Here is a 17,390-nt window from a genome sequence, read left to right on the forward strand (position 1 = left end):
GCAGTCCTCTGTGGCATCAACTGCCAAGGTGTATTCCTTCTCACCTTGACCCCTGTATGTGAATTCTTTTGGTAGCCAGGATGTTGGTACCCTAGGAGAAAACTGGGGGGTTAGCTTATTGTATTTATATACATCTTCAAAAAACTTTTGGTATGCCCAGAGTCCCTATGCTTTAATTTTCTTCTGAATTACCTTGCTGTATGAGTTTCCCAGGGTTGCTGTAACAAATCACCACAAACTAGGTGGCTTAAAACAGTGGACATCTGTTCTCTCACCATTCTGGAGGCCAGAAGTTTGAGATCAAAGTGTTGCCAAGTCCACAATCACTCCAAGGTGCGAAGGGGGCTTCTTAGCCTCTTCCAGCTTGCAGTGGCAACTGGCCTTCCTTGGTGCCCTTGGCCTGTGGATGCATCACTCCAGTCTCTGCCTCTGTCCTCCCATGACTTCCTCCCTTTCGTGTTTGTCTGTGTCCAAATTTCCCTCTGCATCATAAGGACACCAGCCACTGGATTACGGCCCACCTAACCCAGGTTGACCTCATTTTAACTTTATTATATCTGCAAAGATCTAATCTCTAAATAAAATCTCACAGGTACTGGGACACTTGCTATTTGACTATACTTCCTTTAGGTTAGGCCTCTGAATGGATATAAGAGAAATCAAGTTATTTTGTCTGAATCTTTCATTTTTCCTCTGGTTAATAGTTTGCTTTCACTGTGGTTTCAGAAAACATTTTAAAATGTCTCACTGGAGGTAACATAGCCTATATTGGCTTTTTACTTTTGCAGAGTAAAATATGAAATCTTATAGGAAGAAAACATTTAATACTAAGCAAAGCACTTTAAAATGTATGCGGAGTGGCCAGGCACTGTGGTTCACACCTGTAATCTGAGCCCTTTGTAATCTCAGCCAAGGCAGGTGAATTGCTTGAGCCCAGGAGTTTGAGACCAGCCTGGGCAATGTGGTGAATCCCTGGCTGTACAAAAAATAAATAAATTAGCTGGTGTGGTGGTATGCACCTGTAGTCCCAGCTTCCTGGGAAGCTGACACGGGAGGATCACCTGAGCCCAGGAGGTGGAGGCTGCAGTGAGCTGTGATTGTACCACTGCCTGGGCAACAGAGTGAGACTGTCGCAAAATAAATAAATAAAATAAAATATATGCAGAGAAGCAAGAGTTAAAAGGGCAGCAATTCCACTGAAAAGTCTGTTTACAGAGGTTTATGACTTGGGTCTGAATTGCCCATTTTGGAGCTGATAGAGCTCTGGCTGGATTGTTTGGACTAGGGCAGAGCTCTGGCATGGCCGTGGGAGAGGGCAGGTCTCTATGATGGTGTTTTAAAGTCAAGAAAGACTCTTTAGAGGACATGGCTATGCCCAGCTGCATGTTTCTTTGGTGCATCCGTGGGCCCCGGCAGCCCACGCCGGAGTCTGAGTTAGGCTCTCACTTGTTTGAGAAGGTTGTTTGATGGGACATGTGTGTCTACAGTTCCAAGTAGAATCGCAACCAAACTACATTCCCTGGAATGAACCTGGGTGGTATTTCAGAAGTACATAAACTTTGCTTAAAAAAAAAAAAAGATTCCATTTTAGAATATCCATCAAAGTTCAAATTTGTTTCATAAGGAATTTAACCGTCTTTTGGCGAATAATCAATGTTTGAATGTGAGCTTAAATCTGAGAGTTTTCCTCTATCCTTCTCTTTGTACTTTTGCTGGGAGTAAAATGGACATTTCAATTTTGTATATTATACTGTAACTAAGTTTTGCTATTTTTAGAATATGTGGTACCTTTTAGAGGGAATGTTTTCTCCTTTTATATCTTCATTGGAACTGTATAAATACTGAACGTAGAATTACAGTTGTTTCTTTTTTTTTTTTTTTTTTTTTTTTAGACAACAGGTCTTGCTTTGTTGCCCAGGCTGGATTGCAGTAGTGCAATCATGGCTCACTGCAGCCTCCACCTCCTAGGCTCAAGCAATCCTCCTGCCTCGGCCTCCCAAGTAGCTGGGACGACAGGCACATAAAACCGTGCCCTGCTATTATTTATTTATTTTTAGATGAAGTTTCACTGTGTTGCCCACGCTGGTCTTGAATTCCTGGGCTCAAGCAATCCTCCTGCCTGAGCCTCCCAAAGTGCTGGGATTAGCGGTGTGAACCACTGTGCTCCGGCCAACAGTTGGTTTTGTGTGCTCTACTGTGCTGACTCTGAGGCATGATGTATTAAAAGAATGATCCCGAGTCCTGCCCGCTGCTGTCTACTGACCTGCTTGGAGCTCACCTGCCTGTACCCAGCATCTGTCACTGCCTGGAGTAGTTCCTTACTTTTGGCATTACTGAGAAAAGGCAGGGTGCGTGTCACGTAAGTGTAAAACCAAAACAAACCAGACCCCAAAAAACTAACTAAAAATAGAACAGAACAAAGGGCTGCACGTCCATTTGTGAGCAGGTGGACAGTTCCCTGCCTGTGGTCTTCTTGTACTTCTGTTTTTCTAGCGTGTTGTTCCTGAACCTTTTTATTACAGGGCAATAATGTAATTGGGTTTATTCTCACTATGTACTTAAGTTGTCTGTGCCATTTGATTCGGTAATTTAAACTATCTTTGTTTTTCATGTGTAATAGAGAAAATAATATTAACCTTTTCATGATTTCTCTCATATTTTCCTGTAGTGGTGTTGGGGAGGAAAAAAACGTTTCCTCTACACTCTTTGACTCTGTTCTTAAGTCCTGTGAATTTTAAGGCCTGTGAATTAAATTGACAGAAGACAGATTAGCAAAAGAAAAGACATGTTTATTCACATGCCTGCGTTTGTGCGTGTCTCTGTGTGTGAGAGACAGAGTTCATAGAAAAATGTGACTCAGGCCGGGTGTGGTGGCTCACGCCTGTAATCCCAGCACTTTGGGAAGCTGCAGTGGGTGGATCATGAGGTCAGGAGTTCGAGACCATTCTGGCCAACATGGTGAAACCGTGTCTCTGCTAAAAAATGTATATCTAAATTAGCTGGGCGTGGTGGTAGGTGCCTGTAATCCCAGCTACTCAAGAGGCTGAGACAGGATAATCACTTGAACCTGGGAGGTGGAGGTTGCGGTGAGCCGAGATCACACCACTGCACTCCAGCCTGGTGACAGAGTACGACTCCATCTCAAAAAAAAAAAGTGACTCAAGGAGGTGGTTAGAATTTAAGCAGTATGTGGCATCTTACTAGGCCGGGAGAAGAGAACTTAAGGGAAAACAAGTGACTTTTAGGAAAGATAAATAGGCTTTCAGGAAAATACGTGAGTTTTGTGACAGTGTCTGTTTGGGTGTGGATTCCCCTCTTTACCCTGGTAGCAGGCAACTCCCAGGAGGGGATTTGTGACAGTTCAGTTCTTTTGAGAGGCTCTGCTTTTAGGCAGATAACAGAGGTCACTCTCTAAAGCCTTCAGCTCAAAATCATTTGTATGCTATTCTGGGTGCCGTCAGTGGAGAGAGAATTAAAGGTGGCAGCCCAGCAGGAGGGATCTGTGGACAGCAGCAAAGGGGAAGTTGCTGGAACCTGCACGGGATTGTCTTTTGAGCAGAGGTGACGTGGCATTGCAGGAAAACTTTTGGAAAAGAACTCACGAAGCCCATTGTTTTGTGTCTTTGTTGCCACTGATTAACTGTGTGGCCCTGGGCAAGTCACGTCACTTCTTTAGGTCCCAGTTTTCCTGATTTGAAAAATGAGTGGTTGGAGTAAAGTATCTATAAACCCCACACTGTGCTCTTTGCTCCACATTCACTTTTTTTTTTTTTTTTTTTGAGACAGAGTCTCCTTCTGTCACCCGGGCTGGAGTGCAGTGGTGCAATTTCAGCCCACTGCAACTTCCACCTCCCGTGTTCAAGTGACTCTCCTGCCGCCTCAGCCCCCCAAGTAGCTGGGATTACAGGCACCTGTCACCACACCTGGCTAATTTTTTTGTATTTTAGTAGAGACAGGGTTTCACCATGTTGGCCAGCTGGTCTCAAACTCCTGATCTCAAGTGATCTGCCCATCTTGGCCTCCCAAAGTGCTGGGATTACGGACGTGAGCCACCCGCCCGGGCTCTGCATCCACTTCTTCATGGCACGTGGCCTCAGTGAGCATTCAGACCCTCAGGCTGGAAATGGCGAGCCTGGGGCCCGGGGTCTCTTGTCACTGGCTGGAGGTGTGCCTCCTTTGCCTCTACCAGCCACCATTTTGGTTTCTCAAGGAGGGAGCCGGTGGGCTGCGGCACAAGCTCTGTGAGCTCCCAGGGACTCCTGCAGTCATAGTCTGCCTTCTCTGGTGGTTCTGGTTGTCCTCCCTGGGCCCATGGCCTGACTGACAGCCCTTTTTGTTTATATCTGTAGGTAAGGTTCAGGGGTGGAAGACGGAGGGCATGCAGGCAGGGCTTACAGGCCTCCACTCCTGCAGGTCTCTGACGCAGCCCTCCTCTCTGGCCAGGCTTTGAGGGGTCTGCTCAGACAACTGCTCTCTCATCAGGCCTGATCCCTGGGAATGGTTACTCCATGGCCCAGCTTTTTCAGAGCAGCAAAGAACTCCTGCCATAAGAGCTGTCTCACCATTGTTGCGTCTCATCCTTCTAAGGACCTGCTGTTTCCCAGGGAATGGCTGCAGAGCCAGATCACAGAAGTTAGGTGACTTGCCTGAGATTGCACTAGGTCTTGGGCCAGACACAGTGACTGAACATGTCTGCTCGATTCCCAGCATCATGTGCTTTTCTGGTACATTGTGTTGCCTCTGAAAAATTATCTGAAAAAATTAGAAGGTGATGCCTCATTTAGGATCATAGACTCTTGAGCTGTGGGATTGTCCAGTCCAAAATCTGAGATCCAGAAAGGTCAGTTGTGACTTGTCCCAGCTCACACCACTAGTGAGTAGCCTAGTCTAGTTCTTTGAATCCTCGTTCAGTGCTCGCCCCATCAGACTGCTGCCTGGAGGCTGTTGGTGGGAGCCAGAGGCTGCTCGAGTGTTGGGTCCTGACAGCCCTGGACTTAGTCCTCTTAAAGCACCTTCTATTTTTAAGTAGTGCACGTTATTGAAAGAAGTGGGTAGAACAGCAGTGGATGGCATTACCCATTCATTTCTTCTCCTGGCAGGTCTTTGGGGGACACCTATGATAGTTATAAAGTTCATTTTACTAATTCACGATGGTGCTGATTTTCTTTTTTTTTTTTTTGAGAAAGAGCCGTGCTCTTTCACCCAGGCTGGAGTGTGGTGGTGCAACTGCAACTTTTGCCTCCCAGGATCAAGCAATTCTCCTGTCTCAGCCTCCCAAGTAGGTGGGACTACAGACACGCGCCACCGCGCCCCGCTAATTTTTATATTTTTGGTAGAGATGGGGTTTCTGCATGTTGCCCAGGCTGGTCTTGAACTCCTGACCTCAAGTGATCTGCCTGCCTCGGCCTCCCAGAGTGCTAGGATTACAGGCATGAGCCACCGCATCCGGCCAGTGCTGATTTTCTTAATGCCTTTTATCATAGCTCATCATTGGTCACCAAACCACTATTTCAATTATGGTTATTGAAATATCAGCCTAGAATCAGCCTATTGAATCAGCCTATAAGAATAGATTTGGTTATTTTGATTAAGGTTTGGTTGTGTCTTCATGTTCTAGTACACAAATAACTGTTTTAATAAACAAGTAAATCAAGAAAACCCGAGGCACGGCTGTGGTGGTGAGAGGGAATGTATGGCTTGTTCTTTCTTTAATACCTTCCTGGATATTGAGCTCACCTGACCTGTTCGCATTTGAAAGGTCGTCCCTGATGGCCCCTGGAGGCGAAGCTCATCACAGGATGAGGAAAGGACAGAGGCACAGAGAACCCCCAAGAGGAGATGGGGCTCTGGGAGACGGCCAAGGCCTCGGCCATTCTCTGACTACGGCCAGCTGGCCAGCCGCAGTTTGTCTATTCCTGAAGACTCGGTTGCTGCAGACCCCCAGAAGGAAGACCGTGTGGACGAGGACCCCCAGGCAAGCATGACTTCTGCCAGCCCTGAAGACCAGAATGCTCCAGTGGGCTGCCCCAAAGGAGCCCGGAGAAGGCGCCCCATTTCCGTGATAGGTGGGGTCAGCTTGTATGGGACCAACCAGACGGAGGAACTGGACAATCTTCTGACCCAAGTAAGATCTGGTGTGCACTTCCCCAAGCCAGCAGAGGCCCTCCAGCTTCCTGCCTCTATTCTGTCTGCACACTAAACTGGATCTGCTTTTTCTCTCCCGTTCTCAAGGGCGGCACCATGTACTTAACCACCTTTTCTTCCTGACTGTGTGAAAACATGCATGAATTCAAACTAACCACCTGACGTTTGGATGCCTTTTGCTAATCTTTCTTTCCTGGGATCTCAAATAATACATGAGACTCATTTGCTGTTTGTTTCTGAATAACCTGAGATTCTAACCAGGGAAAGGTAGCAGGGCATATTTAGTAAGACTCCTGAAAGAAGTAATTGTTGAAAAAGACAGTATTGTTCATTGTTAAAATGTAAAGATAAAATGTAAAGAAGAAATAAATAAAATGTAAAGAAGAAATAGTTTTTTAGGAGATGAGAAAGTATTTTGTTTTCCACCATTTTCTTATTTTTTTTTTGAGTTGCAACTTTGCAACTATTAATAGTTTGACAATGGATTAAACACTTAGTACTGGTTTCTTAGTATAGTTTAGTAATTCAACAAATATTTATCCGGGTATCCAGTGAGCACTTTGAAAATACAAAACATTTAATTAAAGACCCTATCTTGGAGAAGTGTATACTTATTTGTGGAGGCTAATACCTTGGCCATGGTAAACATTCACAGAACAATATATGAGTAATATATATGCCCACTTTCATTTTTAAAACCTGGTAGCTGATGTCGTAAGTAACCCATAAAATTATCTTAAAAGGGAACTCCTATGGAGTACTAGTACTGGATTGTATACGTCTACATTTTTCCTGTAAAGCCCCACACAATGCCTTGTCTATAACAAGCACTCAAAAACTCTTGCTTAAATAAATTGAATTGATTTCTTAAGGTTAAAAAATTAAGTTGCAGAATATCATGAAAATGTTAAGAACCTTTTGTCTGAAGGTGCTCCGCTGTTGGGAAATGATTCTGTACTGAAGCAAATTGTCACGCATTTTAACTCAGAACAATAGTCCAGGATGCTCCACAGCCTTAGAAAGGGTTTCACTTCAGAGCAGCCAAAAGGAATGTGCGAAGTAATTTTCTGTACTATAACCTAATGTAGGGAATTGAGTGGGAAAATTGTAAGAAAACCTAAGGAATTACATAAGCAGGATATGCATGTAATAAACAAAAGAAGAAAAAAAGAAATCTAAGGAACGTATAAAGCAACTGGGCCTTTGATTAATAGTTTTAGGGATCGCTATTATAGAAAACCAGAAGGGCATTATAAGAGAGACCTGGGCAACTACATGGAAAACCACTTCTTTCAACTAAAGCTCCACTGCCGTGTGAGTTTGGGTAAGCAAGGCTTGCCTTCAGCTCCACAAATCCTTACTGAGGGCTCATCTATGCCAGGCTCTGTGTCGGTGGGGAGGAGTAAATGAGGCTGAAGAAGGATGTGAGGATCACAGATGGCCACCCTGGCCGGGTTTGTGGCCTTGTCCTGGCTTCCTCCAGAGGCCACCCCTGGGAAAGCATCTTCTTACCCTTGTGACCCTGCATCTGTGTGACAACTCCACTGCTTCCTAAATGTGCCTTCATCTTCTCAGAAGCTTCTTTTTCCTTAGTGTGACCTATTGGCATGTTGCAGACAAGTGAGATGAAACATGAGGCTGCAGGGTGCGGGCCAGTAAGCTGATCAGGATTGTTAAAAACTGTAGCATCATGAGTTGCCACTGGGCTTCGGTGCAGCCTGCAACTCGTGGCAGGATTGGAGAAACCATTTCACGTCTGTGAGTGGCTTCGAGGTGAGAGCGCTATGCGTGTGAGGTGCTTGCAAGAGCTGCCACTTCCTGGTACCTCCTCACAGATTTTGCTTTCTTTTTGCAGCCGGCTTCCAGGCCGCCCATGCCTGCTCACCAGGTGCCACCCTACAAGGCTGTGTCGGCCCGGTTCCGGCCCTTCACATTCTCCCAGAGCACCCCCATTGGGTTGGACCGTGTGGGACGCCGGCGGCAGATGAGAGCATCCAACGGTGAGTCTCAGAGTCCCTTTCCTTTCAGAGCTGCTATGGGCCCATCTGACCGTTTCCAGCTAACCTGAGGCAGCAGGTTCTGCACCTTCGCGCCTCCCTTGGGCCAGGGCGCGTTTGTCTGGGAGTGAGGACGGCTCATCTCAGGAGAATGGTGCATCATTTGCTGTCTGGGGTAGATGCTCTGTGTGCCAGGCTGGTGGCTCTAAGTTTGAGAAGTTTGCCCCTCCTGTGGTGTCCGTGTACATACATTCCTGCATGTGGAGATCCCTAAAGAACCGAGACCCAGGCTAGAAATCCGAGATCAACACGTCAGCAGGGTCAGTTTCTTCTGAGGGCTGTGAGGGAGGGTCTGCTCCAGGCTGCTTTCCTTGCGTCTGGTGCCCTCAGTGTTCCTTGGCCTGTAGGAGCATTGCCTCATCTCTGCCTTCATGTTCACATGGCATTCTCCCCTGTGTCTGTCTGTGTTCAGATTTCCCCTTTTTATAAAGACACCAGGCTTACTGCATGTGGGCCCAACTTAGTGACCTCATCTTAATGTGATTATCTACCTAAGACTATTTCCAAATAAGGTCACACTCATGGGTACTGGGGGTTAGGACTTCACCATCTTTTGGGGGGACACAATTCAATCAAAAACGTATACCATGTTTGTAACAATATGCAACGTGTACCCATATGGCAGAAGATTTTGAAAGAACAGGCAGAAATAACAGTAGCATTGTTAGGGTGGTAGGAATGTAGAGCACTTCTCCTCCCACCCCGTACCTGTGTACACACAGCCTTTCCCTGCTTTCTGTAACACTGGTTTTTGTTGTTATGTTAAAAATGTTTTAATTTTAGCGTTCTTTTGTCGAAAAGCAACAAAACCTAACTCTGGCTGTCTTAAGCAAAAAGGGAATTTATTGGAAGGGGGCCAGGTGTGCCCAGAATTGATGGGATGGCTGGGGAACCAGGCTAGGGAAGGGATGGCATCCAGGCTCACTCCTGGGAGTGGAGGAGCCACCGGAAGGTGTGTGATGGGAGACTGGCCATGGCACTGTCCCAGGAGCTAGTGAGGTATCCAGTGAGCACTTTATCTGGGTATCCAGTGAGCGCTTTGAAAATACAAAACATTTAATTAAAGACCCTATCTTGAAGAAGTGTATACTTATTTGGGGAGGAGTTATAATAAGGAGTTAACTTATTAGGAGTTAGTGACTGTCTTTCTGTCACTCACCCAGGGGTTCAGGTCCCAGGATGGAAGATTCAGCTGTCCGAGCTTAGGTGATATGTCCACCACCTGGTGGTACTGGAACAGGAAGAAGGGTGGGGTGTCTGTCTCCAGGGACCCTTGCCTTCTATATGTGAAGACAGGCCAAGTAAGTATTTAACAGAGCAGACAGTACTATAAAGAAAAATAAAACAGGATAGAGAGCATTCATTTCCAAAGAGTGTTATTCTAATGACACTCTAATGAACAGGATGCACCTGTTCCATGAACCCTCTCTCTCTTCCCTAGAAGGAGACACCCAGATCCTCATCAGTGGCAGCAGACACCTCCAAGTCTAGGACCTCTTAGGATAACTAGTCCTCCAGTTCCATGCAGTGCCTCTTCAGCGTTGATTAACTAGAGGCAGATTTAAGCAACACATCCCTACCAGAATGGCAAGGCAGGGAAAGGAAGGAAATAGAGAATTTGGGATGCTGTGGAGAATAAAACGTCATGCAAAGTTTACATTTCAGCATTTGAACAGATTCCATAAGTCAATATGTAGGATGCACCAAGGCACCAGTGACGGCCCTGCAGAAGATGACTTTGGGTAATGTGAGGAGTAGGAGCAGGTGGGGGAGATAGCCTCCTCTCCAAGGAGGTGACGCTGGGGACAGGTGAGTAGGAGGCAGTGAGGCAGAGATCCGAGGGAGGAGAAGTCCTAGCCGAAGGAGCACCAGAAGCCCAAAGACAGGCAGGAAACATGATGTGTCTGAGGTTCAGCAAGGAGGCCACAGTGACAGGAGCTCAGGGAGCAAGAGGCAGACGAGGATGTTGCAGGCTGGGAGGTGGGCTGAGGCTGGAAAGGGCTCTGCAGGTCATGAGGAGGCTGAGCTTGTTCTAAGTGTGGTGTGAAGCCATTGGCAGCAGGAGCATATTATGTTCCGGTTTATGCTTAGAGAGGGAGGGCAGTTTGTGGGGGGAAAGGAAGAGGAATGGAGATTGATTTGAAGGCGATTGCATTAGTCCATTTGAGAAATATGGTAGCAGTGACCACAAAAGCCATCCCCATTTTCCGTGGGTGCTCATTTTCCCAGTGGTACGAAGAGGCAAAAATGGCCAGCCTTGGTTCTGATTCACTGTGGCCAGGACTGTGAACTCTGGAGGAAGTACTTCTCCCTTGGGCACTAAATTCAGTTTCAACAGAGCAGAGTTCCTAGGTGGGAAGAAAACATTTTGCAAGTATATTATTAAGTAATCCTAAGAAGCCGCTTCTATGTTTACCCTTGGTTTCCGGCCCTGCATCTTCTGCTGTGGGCCAGCCTCTCCAAATTAGTCACTGCTTCAGAGCTTGCGTCCCATCCAGGGCAGTATGGCAACTTCTGGGTGTGTCTCCCAGCTGCCTCTGTAACTTCATTTTTATTTGGTTGTTATTGGGTGTGATGGGGTCATGTGCTTCCTTCTCTGTGACGTTCTGGGCCTGGATGGCGTGTGAGATGCTGCGACAGGATAGGGGCCTTCTAGAGGATCCACAGAGTGCAGGAAAACAAATCCAAGCCCAGCATAAGTGGCCCTTCCAGTAGGGACAAATCACCACCCCCTCTATTATGAAAAGGCCCCACTGCAATCAGCTTTCCGCAAGGGGCTGTCTGGTTCCTGCGGGGAACCGTATCATCAGCTTTGTTGAGGGGAAGGCCCAGACTTCCTGTGGTTTAGCCCAGGCTTGGCATCCATTTTTGCCACCATGGCCTTTTTCTTGCTTGCTTCTTTTTTTTTTTCCTTTTTATGAACCCACTGAGCAAGTATCAAGATGACTAGGAAGGAAGACTGGCATCTAGCTGCACATTGGGACAGCATGTCCACATGATGATTGATTAGCCTCTCTTGCAATAAGGATTCATGTAGGATGGACATCATCTCATGCTCTGCGGGTATTCTGAGGTAGCCAGTTATACTCCTTCCCCAAACCCATCCTCAGCCCATCTTGTTCTTTCCACATTCCTCCAGGCCATTCAGCCAGGCCATTAGCTCCTAACCAGGAGTGCGCACGAGCTAAATCCTTGCCTTGCCAAAGCCATCTCTCCTACTCAGAAAGGCTTGGGAAGAGTATTGCTTACATTTGCCGCCGGGAGTTTCCCTGTCCTGAGGACACAGTCACCAGGCTGATGGTAGGAGTTCTCTTTGAGAAGCTAGGAAGAAGACTTGTAGTAGGATGCCTACCCTGAGGCTCCCTGGCTCTGCTCCATCAAGAGGCCTGAGTCTGGGAGTTGAGTGAGGGCCCTCCCTTGTCTTCTCTGTCATGGTGGCTCAGGTCGGGCTCTGCTTGCCAGCCCTGGAGAGTTCCTCCTACACAATGTTGTGGTACCTTTGTGGAATCACTCATCTGTTTTGTTCCTGGGGACCCCGAGATCAGTTAACAGCACAACCAGAGATTTCACAGGTCAAACCATTCAGATGACCAAGCTGGCCCTGCTGTGTGGTATAGTAACTATGCCCACCTTTTTCCCATGACAGATGTCCCACCCCCATGGAGGACCAGGTTTGCATTGCAGTGGAACCATCTCTCAGCAGCATCTCTGGCCTAGAGAGATTAGCAGTACATTAATTATAAAAGCTGCTGTCACATGGGAGATGCAGCCCAAGGGGTGGTGAGACTCACATGATAGACCATCTCTAGCATTTCCATCCCAGTCCTGGAACTCCTTCCTTTCTATGCACTGAGGGTTTTAGGTTTATATACCAACGAAGTGCTAGAATGGCATCCAGCTCAGTAAGCCCACAAATTGAGCTCAGCAAACCAGCTGTAAAAGCATCATTTTGAGACACGTTGGGGAGATTTTCAGATGAACTGAATATTTGGCAACATGAAGGAATTATTTTTAATTTTGTTAGTTGGGATAAGATAGTGCAGTTATTTTTAAGTCCTTGTTTGTTATACACAGATAGTGAAATACTTTCTGCATAAAATATGATATGTGAGATTTGTTTTAAAATACTCCAAAAAAGTTGGTGGGAAATAGTTGAAACAATATTGGCAAAAGACTGATAATCGTGGGTTCATGGTATTATCTGCTTTTGTGTGTATTTGAAATTTTCTGTAGTATCAACTTTTAAATAATAATGAAAGTATATTTCTCCTCCCTGGTCAAGTATTCTCAAAATCTTGATAACCAAAGGTTGGTAAATGGATATAAAAATAGAGCTAGACAGGAAGAATAAGTCCTACTGTGCCACAGTTAATGACAATGTATTGTATAGTTCAAAATAGCTAGAAGAGAGGATTCAAATGTTCTTAATACAAATAAATGATAAGTGCTTGGGGTGATGATATGCTAATTACCCTGATTTGCTCATTCCACATTGTATACATATATTGAAATATCACACTGTACCCCATAAATATTGTACAATTATTATGTGAGTTTAAAATAATAATATAAAAAACTCTCCAAATTAAGTAGTATCCACAACTAAATTTTTCTCAAAATATAGAAAATTGAACATTGCATTTAATTTTTTTTTTTTTAAAGAAATGAAGGCAGAGTCTTTCTAGGTGAATGGAGCCCTCCCTTCCGAGAACTTGGCAGCGCCGTGCTGTGCTCTTCCTTTCTCTCACCACTTTTCTCTGGCCCTGTTTGTAGCACCTGTCTTACCTCTTGCCAGCCACACAGCCTGCGAAGGCAGGTCATGTGGGACAGGCCTGAGTCATGTTTGTAGGCTACTGGGTGTGTTATTTGGGATAATAGAGTTGGGATAATGAATTTCAGTGGCACTTATTGGAGCCTTATCGGAGGGAAGAGTGACAACCTGTAAACACCACTGCATTGTTGGGGATGGTGTTTGTGGCTTCACCTTCCTTGGGTTTCAGGAAGGATGCCCACACTGCTAGAAGATTTTCCTGGGGAATTATCTTTGCCGCCTTTGCTTTGCTTTCAGTGAAGCTTTTCTCTTTCATTTGAGACAACTTACTCCATCACAGCCTACCTAAGCTCCTAATTTTTTTGTACTTAACATTGGGTTCCAACCATACTTCTTCCTTTAACCGGTCTGTTTATGTTGATCAGAAGTCAAATTCGAGTGCTTTTCAGAATTCTTACTTTGAATTTCCCTTTGTCTCTATTATCCATTCCCCTTCTCTTTCTACGTATCTTGTCCAGAGTTCAGATTAGCTTGCTTTTCTTATCTTCCAGAGAGGAGAGTGTCCAGTTTACTTCGCTGTTAGACTTGAGTGGGAACTTCACAGAGACAAGCAAAGGACGAATGCACACCCGTGCACCAAAGTCAGTCGATATGGGTAGACCCCTTTCAAAAAAAGATACCTGGTCTGTTACATTTCTTGAAAGCCCTTTAGTTAACCAGTAAGTACACCGTATTAGAGCATTTAGTAATACTGCCAGATAATAAAAGAGGAAAGTCAAGATGAGGTACAATAATAGCTAGATATAAAAACTAGAGAAAATGCCCTTTTTGAGGGGACACAAACTTGGCAAGTTGACTTGCTTTAAAAAATGTTTCTAACTTACTGAAGTAATTGCTCAATTTGATTTTTTAAATTTTTACTTTTTTTTTTTTTGGCAAATATAGTTCTTTTTTTGCAAGCTAGAAAAGAGAAGCAAATTGACCCAGTCTAGCACTCTAGTGAGCTAGGCTGAGTCACTCATTCTTTATCAGAGTGATACAGTAATACGAATTGCTAGCAGGCAGGTTGTAAAACTAAATCATAACCACCTATCCACATTTTTCATTAGGAAACAACCAAAAATTGAGTCCTTTAAAGGCAGGTTATAAATAAATAACATCTTGATCTGTGAAGGGGACAGCATGACCCAAATTTTATGCCAACCAGCCTGTCTGAGAAGCCCATCTGAGCTGGCCAGTGAGTGGTGAAGAGAGGAGTGCTTTTGAAAACGTGCTCTGAAACGATAAGAATTCTGGATTCTGGGCAGGTGTGGTGGATCACCTGAGGTTAGGAGTTCAAAACTAGCCTAACCAACATGGTGAAACCTCATCTCTTTCTCTACTAAAAATACAAAATTAGCTGGGTGTGGTGGCGCATGCCTGTAATCCCAGCTACCTGGGAGGCTGAGGCAGGAGAATTGCTTGAACACGGAAGATAGAGGTTGCAGTGAGCCTACATTGCGCCATGGCACTCCAGCCTGGGCAACAAGAGTGAAACTCTATCTCAAAAAAAAAAAAATAAAAAGAACTCTGGATTCTGCCTGTCAATAAGAAAGCAAGTAAAAAGTGTCACAGATGTGTGAAATTGGTCCTTGTTTATACCGGAGTTTACCATGAGAATGAAGAGTTCATCTCAAAAAAAAAAAAAAAAAAAAGGCCAGGCACGGTGGCTCATGTCTGTAATCCCAGCACTTTGGGAGGCTGAGGTCGGCAGATCACTTGAGCCCACAAGTTTGAGACCAGCCTGGCCAACATGGCAAAACCCCATCTCTACTAAAAATACAAAAAAATTAGCCAAGAGTTGTCGTGCGTTCCTGTAGTACCAGCTACTCAGGAGGCTGAGATGGGAGGATTGCTTGAGCCTGGGAGGCAGAGGTTGCAGCGGGCCAAGATCGCACCACTGCACCCAGCCTGGGCAACAGAGTGAGACCTCCTCTCCGCTAAAAAAAAAGAGAGACTGAAAAGTTAGAGATATGAGTGAGGAATAAGATACTTAAATTTTGAAAATAAATGTCTTAGTGATAAATCCAGCATGCTACATTTCCCCTTTTACCACAAGAACAAACAAAGGACTATTTTAAAAGAAATGCTGAGTTCTAAACAGAACACTTTCTACCACAGAAACAGGTCCTCTTCCCCGTACGATCAAGGTTACTGCTCTTCCACTACTCAGGTCCACGTCAGGAGCTTTGTCAGGGCAGGAAATTCATAAAAGGAGAGCATATCCTAGCTAGCCACTGGGGAGCAAGGTTAGCATCCTTGGGGTGGACCATCCATATGGGTAAGCTGTAGTTTTGATAAGAATCTGCAGGCTGCCCGTGAGCATCTCGTCTCATGCCTGGCCTTGTGCACTCTGAGCTGGGTGCTGGGCCTCCCAAGAACCCCTGGGGCCCAACAGGCACGTGCAAGTGACCCTGCAGGAATGCTGCTACCTCCTTGCTAAGCCCAAGAGAACGGGGAAGACCACAGCTCCCAAAGGTCTTAGGGAGTCTTATGGGGGCTCTTCTTGTGAACAGATCAGTGCATCTTTCTGCTGCTGTCTGCAGGGAGGGGGCAGAGCAAGGGGCTTCCACCCACGTGGCCGCCAAGTGGAGCCATCCCCACCTGCCATCCCCAAAACAGCCCCCAGAGCCTCACTTGCTTTCTTACTCTGGTAGATGTTTTCTGCACAGGATTGAGGCTGGTCTGAATAAAGAAAAAACAAAAACGTACCAAGACATTTTCCAGTGAGTTTAAGGCTCAGTGGTTTCAAAGTACAATTGGGGATTATCATTCAGGGGGTGACATTCTTTCCCTGTCTACTGCTCTGGTTTTTTCTGTTTGATTTTGTACTGAATGTATACATCCCCTTAGAAATGGAAAAGATTTACTTATTTATGTATTTATTTACTTTTCTCTATTTAGGGATTAGTATTGGTTGTAAAACCTCATCAGCTCAACATTATGATACTTTGATGAGCTTAAAATTATTGGGAAATGCTATAGGAGGGGCCAGCAGGGCTTAATCAACCAGTATTGTCTCAGGAAATGTCCAGGGTGCTCCGAAACCTTTCTGAATTGGATTTTATTTTATTGTATTATTATTATTATTTTAGATTTTCTTTAGAGACAGAGTCTCACTCTGTTGCCCAGACTGGTCTCAAACTCCTGGCCTCCCACCTTGGCTTTACAAAGTACTGGGATTAGAGGTGTGAGCCACCACACCCGGCCTGAGTTGGATTTTAAATGTGCTTTTGGTTTTGAAGATACTTCCTTGATTTCGATCCATTTAACAAATACATATGTCCCTATTATAAATGAGGCACAGTACCAGAGGCTGGGCAGTTCTGAGGAAGCTAGAGAGTGTTCCTACAGAGCTGCCAGTGTGGTGGATGAATGGGAAAAACCACCACAACTGCACTCACGCTGAGTAGAAACGGGGAGCATGTCAGTCGGATCTGGGCTGTCCCAAGCCCTCATGGAGGAAATGACCTCAAATGAGGCTTTAGGGATGAAGGGAGTTAGATTAAGTTTGTTGTTAGGGGTAGTGTGTTCCAGGCAAAAAGTGGAGGCCAGAGAAAGGAGAGCACATCTGAGAAGTTGAGAGTAGGGTAGCCTAAGAGAAAATTACACTGGTCAGGTCACAGTGTCCTCCAGGCCTCTGTAAGGAGCTGGCAGATCCCACAGTGTGGCCTGCGCTTGCCTTCCTGGCTCCTCTTCACTGGTCCCACAAGTAGAGTTGTATCCTCACCGGGAGTCAAGAGCATGACCCCACCAAGCCTGTTTATGGCAGTTGCTTTATTATGATGATATGGAACTGATTTAGATATTATGTAAGCAAATAAAATGTGAATATGAGACTGAAAGGGGACTTGGCATCTCTGACAATGAAATAGAATACTTTGGAGAAACCCAATGAAACTCAATAAAAGTGAATTGTTAAAGAAAATTCTATCAAATTAGGTGAGAATTGACAGCTTGGAAAAAATGGAAAAATCGAGGAGTCTATATTCAGATTGTTTCGCCAGTGTCTCTGGTTTTATTGCTCAACGTTAAAGAAGCCAGAACTGGAAATCATAGCGGATGCATATGGGTGTGGATTGTACAAGAGACAATGCAGAATTCTAGTCAGTTGATCGTACACAGGGAGCCTTGTCCTACATCATGACAAAGGTGAATGATTGCACCTATGTATGCCTTAAGTTATGTTCATGGCATGCGTGCATGGGGCACTTTTTTTTGGCTTAGGGCTTTTAGGCAGCCCGATTGCTACAAGTCAGAGGACCTCAGCTCCAGGTCAAGGCTATAGCAGGATGCAGAGGAGGAGGCTGAGAGGTGGGCCTCCACTAAGTTCAGGCTGCCTGGGAGGACAGAGCCTGGGCAACTGGGAGCCACTGAGG

The 17,390-nt window shown here is 45.4% G+C and overlaps 1 protein-coding gene and 1 long non-coding RNA gene across 4 annotated transcripts in view, besides 2 other annotated features; one reads left to right on the forward strand and one right to left on the reverse strand.

Moving 5' to 3' along the window:
• SPATA13 (spermatogenesis associated 13) overlaps positions 1–17,390 on the forward strand; it is a 327,268-nt gene that overhangs the window by 263,917 nt on the left and 45,961 nt on the right. For all 3 annotated transcript variants that reach the window (NM_001286792.2, NM_001166271.3, NM_153023.4), the window contains 2 exons: positions 5,759–6,124; positions 8,000–8,144. In NM_001286792.2, the coding sequence (NP_001273721.1) occupies positions 5,759–6,124; positions 8,000–8,144 (511 nt within the window). The remainder of the gene's footprint in view (positions 1–5,758; positions 6,125–7,999; positions 8,145–17,390) is intronic.
• Positions 4,179–4,678: an enhancer, noted in NCBI's record as "H3K27ac hESC enhancer chr13:24822035-24822534 (GRCh37/hg19 assembly coordinates)". NCBI's record gives its function as "activates a minimal SCP1, AML or CMV promoter by ChIP-STARR-seq in naive and primed H9 embryonic stem cells {active_cell/tissue: H9 hESC(naive and primed)}" and the evidence as "EXISTENCE:reporter gene assay evidence [ECO:0000049][PMID:30033119]".
• Positions 8,010–8,144: an enhancer, noted in NCBI's record as "conserved acetylation island sequence 9". NCBI's record gives its function as "activates a minimal heat-shock promoter by reporter assays in Jurkat T cells {active_cell/tissue: Jurkat}" and the evidence as "EXISTENCE:reporter gene assay evidence [ECO:0000049][PMID:17135569]".
• SPATA13-AS1 (SPATA13 antisense RNA 1) lies at positions 9,031–10,721 on the reverse strand. The gene is made up of 3 exons (NR_046531.1): positions 10,618–10,721; positions 9,361–9,481; positions 9,031–9,238 (listed from the first exon to the last, which is right to left on the reverse strand). It is a non-coding gene; the product is annotated as an SPATA13 antisense RNA 1 (long non-coding RNA).

The sequence above is a fragment of the Homo sapiens genome, chromosome 13, assembly GCF_000001405.40.
Source record: "Homo sapiens chromosome 13, GRCh38.p14 Primary Assembly".
NCBI classification, from domain to species: domain Eukaryota; kingdom Metazoa; phylum Chordata; class Mammalia; order Primates; family Hominidae; genus Homo; species Homo sapiens.